We start from the raw sequence: 25675 nt of genomic DNA on the forward strand, positions 1-25675 counted from the left end.
TTAGATGAAGTCTCTGTGTCACCCAGTGCAGTGGCATGATCATAGTTCACTGCACCCTCAAACTCCTAGTCAAGTCATCTCACCTCAGCCTCCCAGAGTAGCTGGGCTTACTGGTGCGCACCACAATGCCTTGCTAATGTTTTTTCCCAAATGGGGTCTCACTATGTTGACTAGGCTTAGTCTTAAACTGACTAGGCTGGGTCTTAAACTCCCAGCCTCAAGCAATCCTCCTGCATCCACTTACTTGTAAGTAAAACAAGATGAAAACCTTGCTGGTGAAGATAAATGAAACAGGACCTCTGAAAAAATGCCAATAAGCATATAAATTAATACAGTATTGTAGGGAAAAGTTAGCAATAAGTCTCAGGAGGTTTTTTTAAAATATTGATGGTCCCATGCCTAATAATTCTATGTGTGGGAAAACATCTAATGTAACTGACCAAAACTTTAGATACAGACTTATGTGCAAAGATGTTCATCACAGACACATGTAATTGCATAATTGCAAAGAAAGAAAAGAAAAAGGAAATGAAATAGTTAAATAGTTCTAATTCCCCAAATTATAAGTACATAAGTAAATCATGGTATATGTATATGTTGGCATATTATGTGATTGTATTAAGTAATAATTGTGAAGATTTCTTAACAACATAAAAAATTATGATATATGAGCTGGATTAACCAAAGAATACAAAGTTGTAAGTACCATACGTCAATTCCATTGAAATGCATAGATTAAAAACTGAAAGACTGTATGTGAAGTATTAATATTGGTTAATTCTGGGGGCTTTACAGTTAACTTATTTTCCATATAATTTTCTGTATTTCCCAAAGATGCAATAATGAATACATATTACATTTTAACTAAGCAAATACATCATGTAAGTCTGGTGTGATATACAGTTCAGATGAGCTCTCAGAAAATTTCCAGTCTGTGATCACAGTAGTATCACTTTAGCAATCATTAAGAACAATTAATCTATACTCATTGGAGAATAAATTAAAATACAAAAGAATGTAGTAGATATAAAGAAGTCATTGCTTTTCATATGATAAAATACAGTTTATAATTAGCATCTTTGTTATTTTTCCTTTGATTTTGTTTCATGTGTAAATTGGGTTATAAATTGGATCTTGAGTTATAAATTAGATCTTATCAGGTTTTTCTAGCCCACATGACACGTAGTATAAAGTAGATATGGGGGCAATAGAGCAATCTCCTTTCTTTACATCAGTGAGAAAATAGAAATCTGTTGTCTTTTGTTTAGACATATGACTGATTTTATGTGAAGACTGGGATCAAATATGACCTTCAGTTTCATTCAGACACAATTATGATAATAGTGTAGAATACTGCTACAAAATAATTTGAATATATTGCTACCTCTATGTGATTATTTGTTATGCTTATGTTGTCATCTTCATGTTTACATTACTCTCCAGAGCGGGTCTCAAACTTTATCAGGTGTCAGAATCACCAGGCTAGAGGGCCTGTCAAATCAGATTATTATAGTGCACCCTCACAGTGTCTGATTTGGTAAGTCTGGGGCCACTTATGAATTCCCACTTCTAACAAGGTCTCAGGTGATTCTGATGCTGCTGGTCTGAAAGCCACTGCTCCACACTGATCATTTCAACTGGTATTGTAAGCTTACTTAAAGCAGAAGATCATCTGTTTTCATCAATAATATTTACTCTAGTCACTTATTTTTTGGAGGTAGGGGGATGGGAGTACTTCTCATTCCCTTCAATGGAAATTTTTGATAACAGATACTAATGGCATAAGCACGCCTCCACCTCCAAACAGAAATAAGGCCACAGATCAGTTATATGAAATACAACACTGGTGCCTTTAATTCCTGTTACCATGACTGCAGTATGCCCAAGGAATAGTGGCACATCTCACATAAACATTGGGATTATGTGCTCCTTCCTCAATGGCACACATTAATGAATGAACATGAAGTTTTTTTGTAATAAAACTCTCAGAAGGCGATATCAGGGGATTATCTGTAAAATGTGTAAAAGTTGTCATCAAAGAAAAGATTAAGTATTATATTCTGAGAACTTTCAGTCTATACTCCAAGCCTCTCTAGCAGAGTCAGAGCTCTTTACTCTCAGCCTGATTTTAAATGAGTTTTATAAAAAGTATAAAGTCAGCCGGGTGCAGTGGCTCATGCCTGTAATCGCAGCACTTTGGGAAGCTGACACAGGTGGATCATCTGAGGCCAGGAGTTCGAGATCAGCCTGGCCAACATGGTGAAACCCCATCTCTACTAAAAATACAAAAAAATAAATAAAATAAAATAGCTGGGCATGGTGGCGCATGCCTGTGATCCCAGCTTCTTGGGAGGCTGAGACAGGAGAATCGCTTGAACCCAGGAGGTGGAGGTTACACTGAGCTGAGGTGGTACCACTGCAAGACTCCATCTCAAAAAAAAAAAAAAAAAGAAAGAAAAAGAAAAGAGTGTAAAGTCACTGACCTGAGATCCTACAGGAATAGAGATGAAAACATAATTTTGGATAAATCCATCTAACATTCAATTTAGCTACATTATCTTTCATTTAATTTATATAGATATGAATTTTATTACATTTGCTTAGTGTTACATATTAAATTCCCATCATTTACATTTGAATCAAGTGAAGCAATATATGTGAAGGAGCTCAGAAAGAGAGTTCAATACAAATGTAAAAGTGTGATGGTAGTTACTTTTTTTCCATCATCTGAATGAGAGAACTGGACAAAAAGGGTTTAACAAATACCTCTCTAGGCTCACTGGTACAATCAAGAACATGATGAAAACTCACTATTTCTAAGTGAGTGAGTAAGTGGGACTTAAGAAGTGATTAAGTGAATGAATAAGAGGGAAAATCTTGGACTTTGGAGACAGACTTTTGTTCAAATACAGAACCCATCCTTCCTACATGTGAGGTTTTGGGCAAGCCTCTTAGTCTCTTTGAGCCTGATCCAGTATGGTGGTGGTAATGATAGCTACTGATACAGATACAGTTTGGTTCTGTGTCCCCACCCACATCTCAGGTTGAATTGTAATCCCCAATGTTGGGGGAGAGTCCTGGTGGGAGGTGATTGGATCTTGGAGGCAGACTTCCCCCTTGCTGTTCTCATGATAATGAGTGTGTTCTCATGAGATCTGATGATTTAAAAGTGTATAGCACCTCCCTCTTTGCTCTCTCTCTATCTCTTTTGCTCCAATATGGTATGATGTGCTTGCTTCCTCTTCACCTTCTGCCATGATTGCAAGTTTCCTGAGGCCTCCCAGCCATGCTTACTGTTAAGCCTGTGGAACTTTGAGTCACTTAAACCTCTTTTGTTCATAAATTACCCAGTCTCAGGTGGTTCTTTTTTTTTTTTTTTTTTTTTTTTTTTGAGATGGAGTCTCGCTTTGTCGCCAGGCTGGAGTGCACTAGCACAATCTCAGCTCACTGCAACCTCCCGACTCCCTGGTTCAAGCAATTCTCTTGCCTCAGCCTTCCGAGTAGCTGGAATTATAGGCACACACCATCATGTTCAGCTAATTTTTGTATTTTTAGTAGAGACTGGTTTCACTATGTTGGCCAGGATGGTCTTGATATCCTGACCTTGTGAACCTCCCGCCTTGGCCTCCCAAAGTGCTGGGATTACAGGCATGAGCCACAGCGCCCGGCCTTCAGGTGGTTCTTTAGAGCAGTGTGAGAACAGACTAATACATAAATTGGTACCAGGGAAATGGGTCATTGCTATAAAGATCCCAGAAAATGTGGAAGCAACTTTGGAACTGGGTAATGGGCAGAGGTTGGAACTCTTTGGAGGGATCAGAAGACAGGAAGATGAGGGAAACTTTGCAACTTCCTAGAGACTTGTTGAATGGTTGTGACCCAAATGCTGATAGTGACATAGACAGTGAAGCCCAGGCTGATGTGGCCACTGATAGAGATGAGGAACTTATTGGGGATTGAAGCAAAGGTCACTCTTGCTGTGCTTTAGCAAAAAGACTGGTGTTATTGTGCCCTTGCTCTAGGGATCTGTGGAATTTTGAACTTGACAGAGATAACTTGGAGTATCAGGTGGAAGAAATTTCTAAGCAGCAAAGCATTCAAGATGTGGCCTGGCTGTTTCTAAAAGCCTATATTCATTTGCATAAACAAAGATAACATATTTAAAAGAAAAGTAAAGTATACAAGTTTGGAAAATTTGCAGCCCTTCTATTTTCTGGGGAGGAATTCAAGCTGGTTGCATAAGTTTGCATAAGTAAAGAAGAGCCAGACTTTAATAGCCAAGAAAATGGGTAAAATGCCTCCAGGTCATTTCAGAGACCTTTGTGGCAGCCTCTCCCATCACAGGCCCAGAGGCCTACGAAGGAAAAAGTTTTGTGGTCCAGGCCCAGGGCCCTGCTGCTCTGTGCAGCCTCAGCACATGGCTTCTGTGTCCCAGCCACTCTGTTTCCAGCTGTGGCTAAAAGGGGCCAAGGTAAAGCTTGGGCCATTGCTTCACAGGGTGAAAGCCCCAAGCCTTCGCAGCTTATACATGGCATTGGGCCTGTGAGTACACAGAAGAGAAGAGCTGAGGTTTGGAAACCTTCACCTAGATTTCAGAGGATGTACGGGAATGCCTGGATGTCCAGGCAGCTGTAGGGGTGGAACCCTTATGGAGAACCTCTACTAGGGCAGTGCAGAGGGGAAATGTGGGGTTGGAGCTTCCACACAGAGTCCCCACTGGGGCACTGCCTAGTCGAGCTATGAGAAGAGAGCCACTGTCCTCCAGACCCCAGAATGGTAGATTCACCAACAGTTTGCACTGTGCAGTGGGGTTGGAGCTCCCACACAGAGTCCCCACTGGGGCATGGCCTAGTCGAGCTATGAGAAGAGGGCCACTGTCCTCCAGACCCAAGAATGATAGATTCATAAGTTTGCACTGTGCACGTGGAAAAGCTGCAGGCACTCAACACCAACCCTTGAAAGCAGCCAAGGGGGCTGTACCCTGCAGAACCAAAGGGGCAGAGCTGCCCACCCTTAGGAGCCCACCCCTTGAATTAGGGTGCCTTGGATGTGCAACATGAAGTCAAACGAGATTATTTTGAAGTCTTAAGATTTCATGATTGCCCTGCTGGGTTTCAGACTTGCATGGGTCCTGTAGCCCCTTTGTTTTGCCCAATTTATCCCTTTTGGAACAGAAGTATTTACCAAATGCCTGTACCCTCATTGTATCTTGGAAATAACTACCTTTTTTTATTATTTTATTTTACAGGCTCATAGGCAGAAGGGACTTGTCTTGTCTCAGATGAGACTTTGGACTTGGACTTTTGAGTTAATGCTGAAATGAATGAAAACTTTGGGGGACTGTTGGGAAGGCATGATTGTGTTTTGAAATATGAAAAGGACATTAGATTTGGGAAGGACCAGGGGAGTAACGATATGGCTTGGGTCTGTGTCCCCACCAAAAACTCATGTTGAATTATAATTCTTAGTGTTGGGAAAGGGACCTGGTGGAAGGTGATTGTATCATGTGGGCAGATTTCCCCCTTGTTCTCATGACAGTAAATGACTTCTCACAGGATCTGTTGATTTAAAAGTGTGTGGCACTTCTCCCTTCACCCTCTGTCTCTCCTGCTGCCATGTAGAGAAGGTGCTGGCTTCCCCTTCACCTTATGCCATGATTGCAACTTTCCTGAGGCCTTCTATTAATGCTTCTTGTTAAGATTGAAGAACTGTGAGTCACTTAAACCTCTTTTCTTCATAAAGTCCCCAGTCTCAAGTAGTTATAGCAGCATGAGAACAGATTAATACAGCTACTGTTAAGATTGACAGAATTAAATGAAATGAAGTCTGTAGAAAGCACATAGCAAGTTGCACAAATATGTGGCTATATTAGAAATCACTAAATTTTATGCATTATACTTACATTTTTAAAATTTAAAAGTGTGAATTTTATGCTATAGGAATGTCAGTGAGAAATAAATTCTATAACAAATTGCCTCCCATGGAGTGTCACTTAACATAACTTTTTTCTTTCTGCCGTGTAGCCTAATAATTAGGGAATAGTAACTATAGTAAACACATAGCTGGATGGCATAAAATGCATTGGGGTTCTGACTTTGTTGAAGATTGCCAGAAGCTTTAAGTCAAGTTACACTAAGAAGAGCATGCATTTTTGAGGGATATCTGGTTAAAAGTGTAAGATTGAACAGAGTTATCACCATTTCTTTATCAAATAACAATAGTAAAGCAGTAAGAAAATAAAAATGCTATAAAACCACAAAGAAAAAGAGAACAAGAGAGGAAATAACAACAAACAAGAAATGTCAATAGCTTTTTGAAAGACAGAATGCTGAAATGCCTTGCAGGAGAAGATACCTGGCTTTTCAGGTGCCAAGGGATTTCAGATTTGGAGGATTAGGGTGGAATTAAGTATAAGAAAACTGAAAGTCTGTATATCTAAAAGTTAGAACCTGTCTAACTCCTATCCCTTATCCCATGCTCCCAGATAACAAACCTTTTTCCAATCCTAGTAAGAGAGAGGAGGTTAATTCTCTGGAAAGAAATAGCAAGATTCTAACTTGGGATACAGAAAAGGGTGAGAAATTGGGCAGAAAACATGGAATGTTAAGGGGAAGTATACTGACTCCAGAGTGAGAACTCCAAATTTCCTCCTCTGGGTTTTCAGAAAGCTCGAGTCCAGATTTATACTTCTCATCTCCTTTTCACCACCAAGTAGAATGTTGGAGAATTCCTCTGGAAATACCAGCCAACCACAGGCTCAAGGAATGCACAGCAGCCACATCCCTGTGTAGTCAGCCTGGTGAAAAGCCTGCCCACAGCCACTAAGTATGTATCAGCTTTTCAAGCCTCACTGTCAAATCCGAAAGAATGGCCAAGGATCACTAGGTATTTGAGAAATTTATATAGTCTGAAAACTAAGACCAAAACAAAACAAAGTGAAATCCCTGTCTTAATTATTAAATATAGGCAAGTTTATGCTACACAACAACCTCGACATTTCAGCAGTATAAAATTATGACAACTGGTTTTTCTTCTCTGTATGTGCTCTCATGGGTTGCCAGGCAGGCTCTGCACATTATAGTAACTCAGTGACCTAGATGGGTAGAGAAACCATTCTCTTGACCCTGGCCAATCACCATGCCAGGTACAGGGAAAAACTGGAGAGGCTGGAATGAGCAGTTAAATTCTCTGGACTGGAAGTGACACGTGTTCTTTCTGCTCATTACAATTGTCCTGAAGTGGTCATATGGTTCCATTCAACAACACAGGAATCCAAAGCAGCATATTACCATGTATGAAGAAGGCAGAAATGTGAAAATATTAGTGAATAGCACCTACAAAAAGGAAACAGGTAATTCATGGAAAGTTTTATTTTAAGCTATAACGAACATACTTGAATACATTTTAAAATATTGTATCCATTAGACAAGAAGAGAATGTCATAAAAAATAGACGAAGAACATAAATTGCCTTTGAAAATTAAATTATAGATAATTATATTAAGTTGTATTTAATAAACAGAATTTATATATTATATATAACATATATATTAGATTTATATACATATAATATATAAACTTGAAAATTCAATAGAGTGAAAACTCAAGAAATTCAATAGAAGTACCTTTAAAAAATAAAATATAAAGAAAAAAATGGGAAAGAAGAGAGTATGCCTATAAAAATGAAGAACTCCAGTTTTCAACAATTGATTGATACGATTTCCTAAAAAATATAGCCAAGAAAAAATAAGTTAGGAGCTTATCAAATAAGGAAGTCAGTAAAACTTCCTATGGCCTGGGTTTCCAGATTAGAAAGCTCACCAAGTGCAAGCAGAATAAATAAAGGACTGAATCAAGGCAACTTGTGCAAAGGGTCATCCCTGCCTTTCTAAGTTCTTTCTTCCACCATGGGCATAGAGCCTGGAAACTATATTTTTCCCATGTTTCCTTACCTCAGGATTTTGGTTAAATTTTACCAGTGAGAAGCGCTCATGAGAGATTTGGAAGGCAGAAGAGAAGGGAAAACTATTATTCCTGGGCAGCGGCTGTGGAGTGGCTCACAGGTATTGGCAAAAGTGGAGTTTTCCCCACAGTTTTAGATTCTTCTTGAGGACCATCCACTTTGGTGTTGCAGAAAGCTGAGATTCATAATTGCCACCTTCCTGAGGGACCTATACTTATTCACTTTCACTCCTCAGTTTTCCAAAGTTTTGTAAACTTATAACCCAATTTATTAAACCCCTTCCTCCTTGAAATACTCTAGAAATATCTAGATGATACAGAATACTTGATTCTACATTCCTGAACAAACCTGATGATTATAGTACATTAGCATGAAATTCCCAAACACCAATGATAAAAGAAGAAATCCTAAAAGCTTGTCAGAGATGAGATGAGAGGAAAACATTCAAAACTTTACTATCACAATGACCTCAGGTGCTCAACCCTGAACACTAAAAGTAAATGAAGTAATGCCTTCAAAACAGGCAAAATTATTTCTAGCCTAGAATTTACAATTCTTACATAATATTTTTAGGTAACATGAATTATAAATCTAGAAGTATGATTAATCATGTATGAAGATAGAGATATTAACAAAAATCAAAGGTCCTCTAAAATGTACTGCTGTGGAGGAATTTTTTTTCTCAGAAAGCAACTGGAGGATGTGATCCCCCAAGTCTAGAGAGGACACCAAGAAGGTGAAAGACTAGCAGCTAGGGGATCAAGTGCAGGAAAGAGAGAAAGAAAATACCCAGGATGTGTTAGGATGACATATGAGTAGCAGGACTAGAAGTCAAGAGCCCACATTGGAGGCCAGATGCTCCAGGAAGGATGTCTCCAGAAGAAAATTACCTGCTGTGTTTAATCCTGTTGAAAAGTGTGGTGTCATAGTGTGAGAAAGTTTGGGAAAGAAGTGGTGATACTGTGGTAGACAGTGTTATTTGTTCGAAAATATTGCTGCATCTCCCTAATACTCTACTCTAGGGGAAAAGCACATTTTCTGAATTATCGATGTCAGGAATGGCCAATGCAATGCAAGCAAAAGTAGCACAGCCACTTCTGTATGGAAGTTTGAAAAGCCATGACAGAATTTTCCGTTCATTCTTTTCTTCCTGCCAGGAGTCCAGCAGGTCCTAGATAAAGACTGCTTCTTCATCCCAGGTCCTAGAAAAGGGAAACCTGGAGGATATCAGCAGCCATTTTGACATGGAAAATAACCCAGCAAGAAATGAGCCTTCACTGTTATAAGTTTCTGGGAATTGGGGGTTATTTGTTACCTCAGCATAATTTAGCCCAAAGTGACTAAATATTTAGAAAACCAAACAATCTAACAAACGAAAGTGGTATTAACACCAAGGCAGTGAAACAGTTGCATAAGAAATGAATAGTAGTATACTATATGACTCAAGTATCAGCAACTTATTCACTCAACAGATATGTAATCAGCACTTATTAGAGTGTGTGGATACAGACAATAAATAAATATCAAGTAACTATATCAAGTAAATCAGAGAAAAATAAAGCAAGAGGGAAAAAGGCTTGCCATGGGAAGCAGCTATTTTTTACATAAAATGTACATTTGTACTGAGCTTTAAAGGATGTGAGGGATTGAGCTATGAGGCATCTGAAAGAGGAGTCTTCAAGGAAAGAAAGTAAATCCTCGAGGGGGCAACAGAGTTGGAATTTTTTAGGACCATTATGGGGACCAGTGTGGCTGAAAAAGATTAGTAAGAGTGACAGAAGATGATGTGATATTGGAGAGGTGGGTGGGGGCAGGTGGTGCTCCATCTGGGAACTTAACTGCCATTGCAAGGCCCCTGCTCTTACTTAGAATGAATGGGAAGCCATTGAAGGGTTTTGAGCAGGACTGCCCGGATCTGATGTAAGAGTTTTGAAGCTCACTCTGACTGGTGTGCTGCAAATTTTCAGCAGGTAGAAAAGGGCAGAAGCAGACAGACCAGTTAATAGGCTACTGCAAAAATTTGGAAAATGAGGGTATCTTGGACTGATGATATAAGAGGATGAGAAGTAGATAGATTTTTGGATGTATTTGGAATGGACAGCCATATTATGACAATAAAACAATATAACTTATAAAATAATGTAAACTCTGAATGTTGATTTAAAACAAAATAGTAATAGAAATACATTGAGGAGATAAAAAGAAAGATGTCTCTATGTGTTGGGTGTGTTTCTGTGTGTGTGTGTGTGTCGTGAGTGTTATAAAAGAACTAAATCCTACCTTTCAACTGAAGAATCAAAAAATAGCAGTGTAAGCACATTATTTGAAACATAGAGACAAAAGTCAGAGAAAAACAATATGAACAATTAGAAGGGTTTGGCTTTGGAAATGGGGAATGCAATTGGGAGCAGGTTGGTGACGAGGCAGAAGACAGCTGTTTTATGATAAGCCTTATAGCATTGTTAAATCTATGTACATATATGACTTTGACAAAAATAGAAATCGATGTTTTGAAAGTATACTTTTAAATGTACTTTTTAAAAAAAGTAACACCTACAATGTAAAGAACAGTATATGATAATTGTGGATGGTAAAGGAGAGTTATACAAAATGGAAGCTTTGTTCTCAAGTATTAGAGCTCTGTATCGTTTAGAATTTAGATTCAGCCCCTGTTATAGAGACCTCCAAAATAAGGCAGAAGTTTATTTTTTTTTCCCATGCAACATTCAGCTCAAGGCTAGTAAACAAGACTCATGCTTAGGAATTTAGAATCCTTTCATCCTTCTCCTGCCATCAATACACAGATCAATACCCAAGTCATTCTTGGTTTCCTTGGATACTTTGTCTCTGTAGGATTCCTTATGTAGAAGAAACAGCATTGTGGTGAAATGAGTGTGGGCTTTAGAGCCAGACAGCCCTGGGCTTGAATCCCAGCTCAATCAGTTATTAGCAGAGACAAATTGTTTATTAAACCCCTTGTTCTTCTATTTTCCCATCTTTAAGGCTAGACTATCTCCTAATAGGGTTGTTGCAAAGATGAAAGAAAATAATACGTAAAACTAAACAATGGCGGCCATGAAGGAATTGGTCAATAAATTGGAGCTATACTATTATTAGCTAAAGTGGGGGTCTTAAGTGAAATAGTTAAAATGTAAATCTGGTCATGTGACTTTTAGAATCAGGTCTAAATTCCTTACCACAGCCTGCAAGACCTCATGTGATCTGATTCTTGGCCACCATGCTTCACTCCACTCCACCAAAGCAAACTCACATCTTAGGCTTAGGCTCTTGCTGTTTCCCCTGCCTGGAATTCCCCTCTCCTCAATTTACACATGACTTTCTATTTCATTTTATTCATATTTATGTAAAACATTACCTCCTCAGAAAGATATTTCCTAGCCATGCAGCTAAAATAATAACCACCATCACATTGTCCCCTAAGTCTGGTTTCTATTTGATGCAAAGCACTCACCAATCTATAGAATTATACACTGTCTGTCTCTCCCAAGAGAATGCGAGCCCCTTGAGGGTAAGGACCTTGTGATGTTCCACAGTTGTATCCTCAGCATCTAAAAATATGCCTGGCATATTGTAGGCCCTCAATCAAGGTATGTTGCAGATGCAGTACTCAGCCTCATTTAGACATGTATACATTGCACCCATTCCTACTCCGGATCATTACGGTGAAAATGAATTTCAGCAGAAAAGAGAAGCAGGTGAGGCAGGAAGTGAGGAATGAAGAGAAGCAGTGACTGAGGTTTGTATTTGTGTTCTATGAAAGGAAAGCATCAACCTTGGAATGAGGCCCATTAGCTCTGAGGCAATAACCCCTTCATCTGGTGTTTGCTTTGAGTGCCCTATTTCTTGGCTTTGTGGGAATGATTTCTACAGTACCAAACAGAGCTTTGAATCCATGCTCTCAACACTAAAAAGTGGCGAAACATTGTTCCTCTGGGGTGAGATGTTCTGGTCCAGCTGTCTATATGGATCAAATAAATTATTTACTGACCAAGATATCTTTCGTTTTATACTGGACAGTTTGTACTTAACAAAGACTTATGAAACAGAAGAGAGATATGGAAAGTTAAAAAATATCCCTTTAGAACAGAAACAGCTTTAGTGTTTGGACATAGTTAATTTAAACACACGTGTTTGATATAAACAAATGAAAGATTTTCTTTACTCTTACCAAATGTTGTTAACCTGGAACCATGAACAGAGACTGAGAAAACTGTAACCTTGCACTTCAAAATTATCCAAAAAGACAAAAAGGTAAAATATAAAGTATAAAATTCAGAGCAAAAATTAAATAAATGGTTCCCACAAATTCCCTAATGTAAACATTTTCCCTGTTAATAAACATAATTTTAAAAGCAAGAATTGAGATGGTTTGCCTTTTGGCCAACTGAAATGTCAGCTTTTTCATATAAGTTTGAAAATCATACTTAACACAATCAGTGCTTTACATAAACAGGAGACACTTATGAAATAATATTGATTAATTGACCCAACAGATGTTCACTTTAACTTTCTAGATTAAATTAGACACATATGGATGAAAAAAATCTAATGCTTTCCTATACTGGCTAATATGACTTAAATTTATCTCATGTTACTCCACAATCCATTTATGCTTTACCTCTTGATTTTGCCTGGTAGCTTTTTTATTTTAAAAATCCTAAGGTGTTACCAACTAATGAACACAAAGCTTTATTCCTCTGATAGATATAGCATCAGCTCAAACATGCTTAAAATCCTATGTCATATGATATTTCACTCTCCTCTTAGCACCCCTCTACCCAGGTTCCCTGCTTGGCCAACTCCACACATAGAGGGTGATAAACCACTTCTTTGGTTTTTAGTGCTTGACATCAACTGACCCAGCAGTCATCAGGCTTCCTCTCCATGAAAACCTAAAAGCTGCTATTGAGCAGAATTTGAAGAGGGAGTAAACCTTGTATTACTTCTCTAATTCCAACTATGATGCAGAAGAGTTTCCTCACCTAAGTCATATTTTTTTCTATAATGTGTATTTGAAGCATCTAGCAGTATAATATTCAAGTCTCCTCAGTAATTTCTAGAAAACATTTGTTTGTAAAGTACTGTCAGAAAAATTACAGTTGGCCCTCCATATCCATGGGCTCCACATCCACAGATTCAACCAACCATAAATGAAAATACAGCAGGGCAGACTTTTCCTATCTTCAGGATCCGCAGACCACAGCACTTGGGCATTCTTGGATTTTTGTTTCTGTGGTGGATCTTGGAAACAATTCTTTTTTGTTTTTGTTTATTTTTATTTTTGTTTTTGTTTTTTTGAGACAGTGTCTCACTCTGTCACCCAGGCTGGAGTACAGTGGTCCGATCTTGGCTCACTGCAACCTCTGCCTCCCAGGTTCAAGCAATTCTCCTGTCTCAGCCTCCCAAGTAGCTGGGATTACAGGCGCCTGCCACCATGCCCGGCTAATTTATTTTTAATAGAGATGGGCTCTCAACATGTTGGTCAGGCTGGTCTCGAACTCCTGATCTCAGATGATCTACCTGCCTCCGCCTCCCAAAGTGCTGGGATTATAGACGTGAGCCACCACGCCCGGCCAGAAACAATTCTTTGTGGATACCAAGGGATGACTGTACTACAGATTCAATTTGTATTTAATTTAAAAATGTTATGTTATCTTATGTCATGAGTGGTCTACATACAAATGAATCTCCCAGTGATGCACACCTGCCCGCATTCATGCCCTGGTAGATTAACTTGTACATTATTGACTCTGAGTTTAGCCATGTGAATTGCTTTGGCAAATGAGATATAAGCAAATGCAATGCAAGCAGAGGCTCGAAAGGTGCCTGTGTGGAGGGTCTTGTCCCTTCTTGCTGCCCTGAAACCACAAATGTGAAGAAATCCAGGCCAGCCTATTAGAAGATGAGACACATGGAGCAGAAAGCAAACATCACAGCTCAGGATTCCTAGAACACTTGCGCTCGGCCTACCTGACAGCTACTGCAGTTGCAAGAAGTGACCCCCAACAAGGTCAGCAGAACAACTCAGCTGGGACCAGCCCAGTGTGTTAACCCGCAGAATCATGAGCAAATAAGATGGGTTTTATTTTAAGCCACGAGGTTTGTCATCGTTTGTTACACAGCAACACATAACTAATACACATCTGCTCATGTGATTTCTACTACAAGAATCCTACTAACAGAAGAATCCTGGGATGAACTCATATTTTAATAAGGGATGGTTTCAAATGCCTTCTTTTCTCTAGAACAGTTTTTCTCAAATGTGATCTATGAAGCCTCTGCATCAGAATCACCTGAGGAGTATCTCAAAATTACAGATTCCTGGCCCCATCTTGTCTCCACTGAAGACAGTGTCTGAGAGAAAACCTGGAAATTTGCACTTTCACAAAGAGCATCTGCTGATTATTATGTGTGTGTGTATGTGTGTGTTTCCAATTTATTTTTTTTAGCTTGAGGTATAATTGACAAATAAAAATTATACATATCCAAGGTACACAGTGTGTTGTTTGGATATAGGTATACATTATGAAATGATTACCACAATGGAGCTCACAGAATTACCCTTTTTAAATTTCAGAACCACCTGCTTTAGGTCAGTGGTCTCCCAAGTGGAGTGCACATGACAATGGGGTGGGGGAAGAAAATACAAGAAAATTCTATTTCTATCAATTTTTATGTCATTCTTTTATAATTGAGTTTGGGGGTCAAGCCTATCAGTGAGAACATTGTGAGAAAAAGAAAAGAAAAATTGTAATGTGTTCTGGAAATTACAAATAGTATGGTGCTCTTGTAAGACAAAGAAGCAGATGGGATGTGGCAAGAAATGAAGATAGAAACAGACATGAAGTGGTGAGTCGAAGCATATACACAAGCTGAGCAAATGCCCCAAGCATGGCACAGCAAGACAAGCTGGCCTCTGGTCCATAAGGTATCCTGAAAAGAGCCTGACCTTTGTTTTCCCAGGATTGGGCTCAGTTCCTGGTTTGACCATAGAACAGCTGATGCCATGCAGGAAACTCTTAGTGTTTCTGAGTCCCACTTGTTAGAAAAAATATGTTTAATATCAATTCCTGCAGCCACTGTCTAACAAATTCTCATAAGCATTGAGTATGAGGGTCTTTAGGTTACGTATTAGCACTGATTCCTAAAAGTGTGTCTTCATGTCATGTAAGTCTGTGATTGTATATGTCTCAACACACCACAATGCTAAGATAGGAAATATAATTTTTTAACAAAAACATTATTACATAAACACACAATTTTCATCTGTTTATCAAAATTGACTCTTTACCTAAAGCAAAGTCTATGGTATGATTTAATCAAGCTTTCTCCTGGTCATGTTATTATTCAGATCCATATTTCTTGTAAACTGACTTTAACGGAGAGGCTAGTGACAGCTCATATGCCCTACCCCCTCTTCTTTTTTTTTTTTTTGAGACGGAGTCTCGCTCTGTTGCCCAGGCCGGACTGCAGTGGCGCTGTCTTGGCTCACCGCAAGCTCCGCCTCCTGGGTTCACGCCATTCTCCTGCCTCAGCCTCCTGAGTAGCTGGGATTACAGGCGCCTGCCAACACGTCCGGCTAATTTTTTGTATTTTTAGTAGAGACGGGGTTTCACCGTGTTAGCCAAGATGGTCTCGACCTCCTGACCTCGTGATCCGCCCCCCTCGGCTTCCCAAAGTGCTGGGATTACAGGCGTGAGCCACCGCGCCCGGCCGTCCCTCTTCTTAATAAGAGTTGATGGTATTAAGTCTTACTGTAAAGAGCTAATTTGGAAACATAATGATTAAATGAGAGTAGCTGAATGTACCCCTTCAGCTGGTCAAATTAAAAGTACTCAATGTTTGAGGAGAGTGAGATGCACGGTCCAGAGGCTATCTTATTCTCTAGGAATAATTTTATAATCAGTGTAACCTAATAGCAGGATAAAATCTTCAGTGTGATTTTAACTGTTAGAAAATCATCCCCCCTCCTTTCAAACCCTTCTTCCTACCCCAATCCCTACGCTACTTGAAATTCATCAAAACTTTAACACAGTGTGTGAGATTATAACTTTATTTCTGTTAATATGCTCTTATTTCAAAATATTATTTCTTTGGGAACCTTTCAGGTAATCTACCTTTTGGGGTTAACTAGATAACTAGCTATATTTCATTCTAGCACATGGTTGAGATGTGAGTCACACCAAGGGATTTAGGAGTATTGTTGATGGACAGAAAGTGGAAGTAATTAAGGAGCAAGAGGAAGTTGGGGAGGACAGCCAACTTTGAGACTTTGAGTAGCCAAAGACAGTATTGAAGATTCTGGGATATTTTGGAAGCAGATTGAGGGCTTGAGGAAAATAAGATCTGTGCTTATATAGAATATCCTTTACCTATACACTAATATCATCAAATACCCTTTTCCAGATATACCTAACTTGGTTATCCCTTTGGAATAGTGAGAGCTCTTTCCCAAATTAGTGACTGGTGCTTCAGTTTGAGTGCAGAATTCTCTAATTTCCAAGTAACAGCAGCAACAACAATAACAGCAATGACACCAATAATAGTAACTATCATTCATTGAGAAGGCATCACGACAGAGTGTTAAGATCATAGATGTTAGCCAGATTGCCTCGCTTTGTCACTGTTGCCCTGGGCAAGGTTCTGAACATTTTCTGCCTCAATTTCCTAATCTGTGAAGTAGCACCTCTTCATAGGATCATAATGAGGATTCAGTGTGTATGTAAAGTACATAGTGTTCTGTCTGGCATACTGTAAGTACTCAGTAAATGTTAGCCATTCCTGTTGAGTGTTAATCAGATCCTAGATCCTATACTAAGTCCTTTTCCAACATTAATATGATCCACAGGGTGAGCCTATTACATTATTTTAGATGGAGACAATTAAATTCAAAGAGCCTGGGTTATTGATCAACATTACACAAACAGAGATGGAGGAAAGATTCCAGCCCAACTCTGACTGATGCAGAGTCCAAGATCTGAGCAAGTATGCTCTCCTGCAGTGTTGTGTGAGGTGCTGATAATGACATAGAGAAATCACCAAGTTCCCCATATGTTAAGTAAGAAGTATTAGGTTGGTGCGAAAGTAATTGTGGTTTTTGCCATTAAAAGCAATGGCAAATTACTATAGAATAACTCTGTGCTACTGGATCTATTATATTCCCCCACTGCCTTGAGGTGGGGTTCACAGGGTAATGCTAGGTAGCTTCAGCCAGTTTCTTCTGGAAAACAAATTGATCCCTTACTTACTCTTTGCTTACCGACTTAACCCAAAATTCTCTGAAAAAAAATAGAAATTTCTTTCTCTGTGTCTAGAATATTTATGCCATAACCACTACATATATTTGGCTATACTTCAGATAAAGATACAGATTCGTGCACTGCAATTTTTCTTGATGAGTGGAAACAAAATATTTTCCTCCCAATATTTAAATGTATCAAAACATAGGATCCAGGTAGATACAACCCAGCCAGTTTCTTCCCTGCAGCCTTCAACTTTTAGCACAAATGCCAAAGAGCAAGCTAGAAAATTAGAGAAAATCCAATTCACCCTACAGAAATTGGTTCTGGAAAGAGATGACCAATAATCAGATGGTGCTTAACTACCAAGCATTTTGTACAACTAAGAAGTGGATAAGCTGCTTTCTCTCAAAAAATCCGGGTCTGAAGCAAAATATCCAATATTTATAATGCCCACATGCAGTAGCTACTTCAGAGCTATCACCTGAATGAAAGCTAGAAATTCTGATTCTTCACCTAGAAATGATTGCTACAGGCAAAACACTAGGAAATGGGAAATGGATATTTCACTGTGGACAACTTTAGACTGTGTACTCAGTTAACTGTGTATCTCCCTCTGGAAGCTTCCTTCAATCCCCAGGTCTGGCCTCAACAGCCACATTTATACCCTGTGACCCTATGTCTCTGGAAATGGTAGTTTGATCCAACAGTGGACCAATAAAACTGGGTCAATCAGAGCCATACACGTAGGAACTGGTCTACAAATGCAACTGGACCATTGACATGCAAATACAGGAATTGTGGGATGGCCAGATGTGGTTAGGGGGCATCTTCTATTTCTATTTCCTGGAACTTGGTTTCTATTCCTTGAAACAAAGAAGGCTGGCTCTTAGACAGATGGGTGATGAAAGCAGTGATTGAAGGTTAGAGAAGAGACACAAGGAGATCAAGCTACCTCTTGGGGACCTCTTTCCAGCAGAATGCCCATTCATGGACCAAACAGGAAAAATGCAAGACAGATCCATTGATGGACCTGTTAAGAGTTAAAGTATAAAAGCCAGTCATTAAATCCATTGATCATGCCCTGTAACTTACATATATGTTAAATGTATTCTTTGGTATATATCAAATATTTGTTAGTTTATTTAAAAAATTAAAAATTAAATATTCCACTTCTTCTAGTAAATAGTCTTTTTTGCTCTTACAAACGTGACCCACTATTTAAAATGATATTCTTGAGGTATGAGCTGTGTAGTATATATATGGGCTTTAGAAACTGAATCTTATTTTATATGCACAGGAAATACTTCATTGAATGAATCCAGGCATAAAAAATTTAGCCCAATTACCACAATTCAGTATTGTTAAGCTATCAAAGCAAGTCATGTAATTTTCATCAGTTTTATGCATATTCAAGAATATACAATAACAGTAGGAAATACCCATTTCTACAGTGAACTAATTAGAGAGAAAAATTCTGTTTGAATTCATCAACTGGGAATTTTTTTTAGATTAATTATTGATGAATTGTTCATCAGGTGCACATAAGACCACAGTGATAAGATTTATCTTAAATTTCAAAAGTGCTTTATTTACAGTAGCTCTAAATGATGAATCATATTACAAGTAAGATTCTGTTGGGGATAGTTTTTTCTTAACTATACTCGAAATATTGATCCATAGTAAACTTGGTGACATTATTTATCCCTCATGAATTTGTTCAGAAAATTATACAGCACTTACTAGTTATCCAAGCAAAGAAAAATATAGAATAAAACCTCCTGAGAAAACACTGGAGGAAGGGAGATGGAAAGAGGTAAATTAATTAAAGAATCTATTTCAATTCTTCATTTTATGTTGAGTATTAATGTAGATATAACTCAATATTAAGTACCATTCTTATGTATATCTGAAGTTTATAGCTAGGTATATTTCATTATTTTATAAGCAGTATGTATCACTATTTTAAATTTATTGCAACAAACAGCAATTCCTTCTTTACTTATTGTTTTCTTTTTTCTTCTTTTCAATTTCTCCAAATTTCCTTTACTCATAAGTTTAGAAAGTAGATAAGGCATTGAAGATATTTACAGGAAAATTGTGTCCACCCCTACTTCAGATTATAATATACTTGAGAAAACAACTGGGTCCCTTGAAGGACTGAATAAGCACTAGGGATGGAATGAACTCATTAGAAGTCAGAGACAGCCTACAAGATTACAGCCACAGGGTCCCAGGCTGGGAACCTTGGATAACTTCAGCTAACATGAAACTAACTTTCTATTCCCTGGAAGTTGCTGAAAGCTTAGATGTTTTGTACGTTGTTTTGGCTTTTTCAAAAGAGTAGTTGAGCTTACAAACCTTAAATAATGCCACGAAGTGTGAATCTTCAAATGCTAGAAATGATGAAATACAGTCATGTGTCACTTAATAACTGGTACACATTCTGAGAAATGCATCCTGAGGCGATTTCATTGGTATATAAATATCATACAGTGCACTTACACAAACCTAGATGGTGCAGCCTACAATACACTGAGACTATACAGTTATAGCCCATGATTTCTAGGCAACAAATTCATGCAGCATGTTACTCTATTGAATACCATAAGGCAGTGGCAACACAATGAAAGTATTTGTGTAACTAAACATGTGTAAGCAGAAAAGGGACAATAAAAATGCAGTGTTATAATCTTACAGGACTGCCGTCATGTATGCAGTCTGCCATTAATGGAAATGTCATTATGTGGAACACAACTGTAAAAACAAACCATCTGAAAAATGTTGAGTGAATTCCAATGGAATCGCTCATAGCCTGCTCCCACATGTATTACATCAAATTGTTTTAGGTATTTACCTTAAAACTATTGAAGATCTGTTAGAACATGGAGAATTTGTTTGCTATTATATCATTTCCTTTTCTTCTCTTCTTCGGTATGTATTAGAGTGACAGAAAAGAAGTATAATCATCGAGAAAACTTGGAACATGCATGAACTATTGTTTTGACCATTTTACCATGGGTGAGGTATGGTGGCTATGGTGAGGCCAGATGCAGGTCAAGAGAGAAAAAGCACGGTTTTTATAGTTTTGTTATACTCACAGTTTCCTAGGGAGAACACTATACAGGGCCACTCAGGGGTTGGTCAAGAAGCAGAGGCAGGAAGAACAACTTTTAATTGTGGTTTCTGCAGGAAGAAACAGACAAGGCATGGTAAACAGGTTTAGAATTGGCTACTTTGAATACTATCAGCAGGTTCTGGGGCACAGGGGCTGTCCCTGGTTATCTGGTACCTGGCCCTGGGGTGATTGGAGCTCATTGATAGTGACCCAAATTAGAAAAGACCAAGAAGGGAGGTGGTTGGAGTTTTGGATTTAATCAGCTTCTCTAGAAGAAAAACTGACTAGCCTCAAGCCAGGATCTCCAAACTGAGTTAGGACAGTGCTTATAAAAACCGTACTGCACCTATACAACACATACACATAGAAGTAAATAGAAAAGCCTCAGGCTGCTACAATCAGAGAAGATGTCTCTTAAGAAAGACCGTGAGGCTGTTATTCCACCAATGTCAGAGTAAATGCAGGCAGGTTTTAATGTACAAGTTCCTTATGGATCAAATAGAGGGTGTAATGTTATTCTCCTGAAACATTGCTGCAAATTGGTAGAGATACAAAGGGCGAAAAAGGGGTTATCAACCAGAATTTCCAAAAATACAATTTTGTACAGTATATAAGCAAAAGCAAGTGCTTTTAGTGATTCACTTCACAAGCAATTTCTTTAAAATCTAACCATTGAGCAACTGCAGGAAGAGAAACTGAGGAATCCTCTACAAGAGATATTTAGAAATTTAATCCATAGAAACAAGCATTGCAGCACGGACTGGCATGGGAGAAGGTCAGTGAGACAGAGGGAAAAAAGTGGATCAATGAACAAAGACAGCTGAAGACCCAGTTACAGACCCAATTACTAAAACCACCCCATAGTCCCACCTGCTGAGGGGTTTTACCACTCCCATAGGAGGACGTCAGGAAGTTTATGACAGAATTCCACTAAATTCATTTGCAATCCCTTGCTTAGATCTTCATTTTGTTGTTGTTTCCTGCATAGCAACTTCATACAATTCTTATCCCAGAGGGTGGTTTGATTATTCTTGACTTTTTATTTTGTTGTAATCATAAGTAATTTTTATTTTGTTAAAGATAAAAGTCTACTCAGAATTTCAGTACCCAGAATAAGCAGACCAACTGACATGCAATCCCTTAAATTAAGGAAACTGACTTTCGTAGTCAGGGCATTCCTCCTGTTTCCCATGGATCACTCATAGACCCAATGCTCAGTTGTTAGGAATGTACATGGTACCAGTAACTGTGAGAAATACTTGTGTGAAAGTAAGATGCAATAGATTCATTCTGCCTTATACTGTTTTCATTACTCTTAACAAAATCTTAAGCTGCTCCAGAATGATCTTCAATTCATCAAGGTCAAAGATAACTTACTTTTTTCAGGCCCTTGGCCATAGGATCGAGGTAATGACACCCAATCCCAAGGGCAGCATGTCTGAAAATGTAGAAAAGCTGATGTAGCTGGTCCCCAACCCAGACCAATTCAGAATACCTGTGGATAAGCATGGGGCTCTGCCTTATAACAAGCTCATCTGGCGACATATTGCATTTGCAAAGAGAGCTCCTGCCCTCCAGCCTGAAGAAATGTTATGGCTCTTTTTGTTGTTTCTGAGCTGTCCCCTCCCAACACAGACTCAGGCTTTTTAGTATAAAAGGAAAAGGAAAAGGAAAGAAAGGAGGGGTTCAACTCTGTCACTACCCATTAGTGGCAAGTGTAACAAGAGTTAAGACTTCGCAGTAATTTACTCAATGACACAGAACATGGTAGCCTGATGGGTAAAAACTTTTACCAAAATATACTCCTGAAATAAGGATCTGTCCAATATGCATTTGTTTCAAAGAGTCTCATGCCTGAACGTTTCTTTTAGATTTGAGTCTTCTTTATCCAGATGGTATTTGATTGACTTGAAGTTCTTCTCATCTTTCACTGTGTCACTTTTTCTGGAGGATCACTCACTTACACATATTAAGTGTGTTCTTTATTCCATCAACATAATAGTTTTCTTTTCTCAAATTTGATGTGATATAACAGAAAATGAACTGGGCTAAGGAGACCCAGAATCTAGGCTTGCTTCTGTTCTTGAGTGCCTATGTCCAGTTAATTGAGTGAATTAACCTCAATTCTTTCTACTACTCAGTTTTCCCATACACAAAATAGGGGAATTGGACTTGAAGTACCTTACAACTCTGAGATTTAGCAAGTGAGTAAATGTCTAGTAGTCCTTAGAAAGTACAACACTGACTTCCTGAACTTTCCCTTCTGGGTGAGGAAAATTTGGGCATAAATTCAAAAAATGTGTTTTATGTCCCGATGGATGATTAAATCAACCCTGCCTGCATTTCTAGGATGACTCAGTTCCGCCTTACCTCCAGTACTGTTTTGTTCTCATGTGCTCCAAAGAAGTCAGTAAACCCAGAATATCAGGTCTCATAAGCCAAAGACAACCTATAAATGAAGGCCAGAATTATCCCCTCTCTACTCTTGCAGCCAATCCAGGTGAAACCAGAGATTTTGTGTCTGATAGCCCAGCAAATATTAGAATGTCTCCTTGGCTATGAAATCACAAACTAAAAAATACTTAATTTCTGCGGCCTCATCAGCCATACCAGCTAACTGGAGTCCCCTGAGGCTTTCCTCCCCAACCCGTCTCTTTCATTATACAGAAAGAGAAGGCAGGTGAGAAGTGACAGATGTCACCCTGCAAATATTCAGAATCTCCTGCTTTTAAATTTGGAGGACAGTACTAAGCAGTGTTTAGGACTATTTTACCATAATCTGTGAACCATTTAAAATATATAACTGAATTATTATTATTATTGTTAATTAAATTCATATACCTAGATGCCAGAAAAGCCTCCACAATTTTTCATTTGATACTTATTAGAATTATATGATCTAGATGGAAAGGGCCTCAGGTGCTAGGGTGAGAAGAGCTCAGCCCAGGGGTCAGAAGACATGGTCTGCTACTCTTCAATCAACTGCTGGGACGTTGGGCAGGACATAAGTTTTTTGAGCTTCCTCATGAGCAAAGCAAGAGGGTTGACTAGATGACCCCTAAGATCATTCTGGAGCTGAAGTTCCACGAAACTATGAGATCTACTAGTTTACAAAGGCGGGAATTGAAGCCTAACAGGGTTGATTGAATTGCCTAAGGTCAACACAAAGCTGGACTTCAAGTGTCCTGACCTTTGGTCCATTTTTTTTTCAATTAATCCAACTAATCCAATTCCATGATTATATAAGAGTCCAGCAAACAAGGGGATTAAGGCTTGAAGAACAATTTATTTCTATATTATATGACTAACTGGTGGTAGGGTAAAGGTAGGAACAGAACTATTTTGCTTTTCAGTCCACAGATGTTGCCTCTAATGAATAGAGGTCAGCATTGACTAGAGAGAAAAAAGCTCATAAGTAGGATAGATGTAAGAGCACAACTGATAGAGGAATGACCAATAAATTAGTTAGGAAAACAAGTGGAAACAATTTTTCTATAATTGGCTAGTGGTCATACAAAGAGTGAATACAGGAGATGGATTAAAAAAGATCAATGTCATTAAACAGCATAGATACTAAACTGAGGTAACTTTTAGTTTATTATAAACTCTCCTTTAATCCAATTTCCCATTATAAGCATGCTTGTGAACTTGTTCAGTTCATAGAAACATTAATGCTAGAGATAAGACTAAAATAAATATAATCCCTAATTTCTATTTCAGTGTCTGACGGAGTCTTCAGATAGATGGTACACTACTACACACCATTATATTCATTACATAAATGGATTTCACAATGATTTATTCTCGGCTCCATCCTCTTACCTGCAAGTCATTTAGATATTGAAATGATACAATTGCTACCTCCAGTTTATTTCTTTTTTTAAGATTTTTATTGTTTCTCCAAAGAAAGCATTGTAAATTTGAATAATAATTAATTCTAGTAGTTCTAGGCATAGCTTAGGATTCCCTCTTCCTGTCTACAGACTCTTCCTATAACTCATTTTCTAACATTTTTGGTGGCTGAGGGAAAAGATAGTTTATGCTTTGGAAGGAGTAAGAGAAAGGTAAAGAAAGAGAAGCAGTAATTATTGCATACACTGCCTATCAGGCAATAAAGTGTGTTTATGTACATTTCTCATTTAATCCTCAGGATATCCCAGTGAGATTGGTGCTATTATTTCTACTTCACAGATGAAGAAAGATGAATTAAGATGTCAAATCACATAGTCATAAGGTCACATACTTTGTAAGTGACTTGGGAGACCAGAATTAAAGTTTGTATCTTTCTTTAGTTCTCATCCCATTACATTTTTATATTTGGAAGATCTAAAAAGGCTTCGAAATAAAAGGCATCCCTAAAACCAATCACTAATAAAGAAATGCCTCAAATTAAGATTGAAATCAATAAGCACACAAATAATTGCAATTTATTTCAAGCTATGGTCTGATCCATGCACTATATGGCCTTCTATTCAGAGCAAGCTGATTCTGCAGGTGTCTAATAAGCAGACAGTAGTGCAGATGTTGTCTTAGAAATGATTATTTACTTGCTTATAAATAACACTGTAATTTGCATAAATACAGACAGAATAGGCAACTAAGAATCATACCCATATAAAAAGTTTAGTACAGAAGCTAAGGAACTTCCAGCTGTGCTAGCTCAAAACCAGCAGATGTGGTTCACTTTGTAGATTTGTCAAGTAATCATGACAGCATCTTATAAATATATGAACATGAGCCAAGAGCAAGTCAAGAAATCACTTTTTTTTTTTTTTTCAGATTGTTCCTGTAGAGACAATAGATGCTGTAATGCAGAAATTGAGAGACGGTATCAATAGATATTATGGGAACTCACTAAATTCAGACTGTACAGGAAAAGAATGTTTCAGAAGAGTAAAAGACTATTTTGGAATGAATTATAGAGTATTTTTTAAAGAAATGTAATTTTCTTCCTGTTTCCTTCCTGTTTATCCACATTTACAGAAAATGTTTACAGGTAATTTAAGAGACTCATTATCATTTGAAAAATTTTCTGATCCTCTTAGCACCCAACATACACTAGTATTTTTCAATATATAGCCACACATTTCCCATCAGGATTTTTACAAAGTGGAATTAAATAGACCCAATAGTTTCAGGCTTGCTGAAGAGATGAATAAACAACATAGCAAAAGCCCTTTAAATCTCCTAGCAAAGGAGACTTTCAAGTATAATGTGTTATTTCCTTTCTAACCGCTTATCAATTTTGAATTAATTTATTGCCATTGAGATAATGCCTAAATCAGTTAGATTTCAGGCAATAATGCAGAAAAAAATCATAGTCTGTCACTGATCA

The 25675-nt window shown here is 38.1% G+C and overlaps 1 long non-coding RNA gene across 2 annotated transcripts in view, besides 2 other annotated features; it reads right to left on the reverse strand.

The window, feature by feature from the left end:
* The window catches only part of LOC124901975 (uncharacterized), a 267232-nt gene that overhangs the window by 219110 nt on the left and 22447 nt on the right, over window positions 1-25675 (reverse strand). For both annotated transcript variants that reach the window (XR_007061002.1, XR_007061003.1), the window contains exon 3: window positions 20324-20408. This is a non-coding gene — a long non-coding RNA (uncharacterized LOC124901975). The remainder of the gene's footprint in view (window positions 1-20323; window positions 20409-25675) is intronic.
* Window positions 22523-22817: a silencer, noted in NCBI's record as "tiled region #14354; HepG2 Repressive non-DNase unmatched - State 24:Quies". NCBI's record gives its function as "represses a minimal TATA promoter and a strong SV40 promoter by Sharpr-MPRA in HepG2 cells {active_cell/tissue: HepG2}" and the evidence as "EXISTENCE:reporter gene assay evidence [ECO:0000049][PMID:27701403]".
* Window positions 22523-22817: an enhancer, noted in NCBI's record as "tiled region #14354; K562 Activating non-DNase unmatched - State 23:Low". NCBI's record gives its function as "activates a minimal TATA promoter and a strong SV40 promoter by Sharpr-MPRA in K562 cells {active_cell/tissue: K562}" and the evidence as "EXISTENCE:reporter gene assay evidence [ECO:0000049][PMID:27701403]".

Source organism: Homo sapiens, chromosome 8 (genome assembly GCF_000001405.40).
Source record: "Homo sapiens chromosome 8, GRCh38.p14 Primary Assembly".
Lineage (NCBI taxonomy): Eukaryota > Metazoa > Chordata > Mammalia > Primates > Hominidae > Homo > Homo sapiens.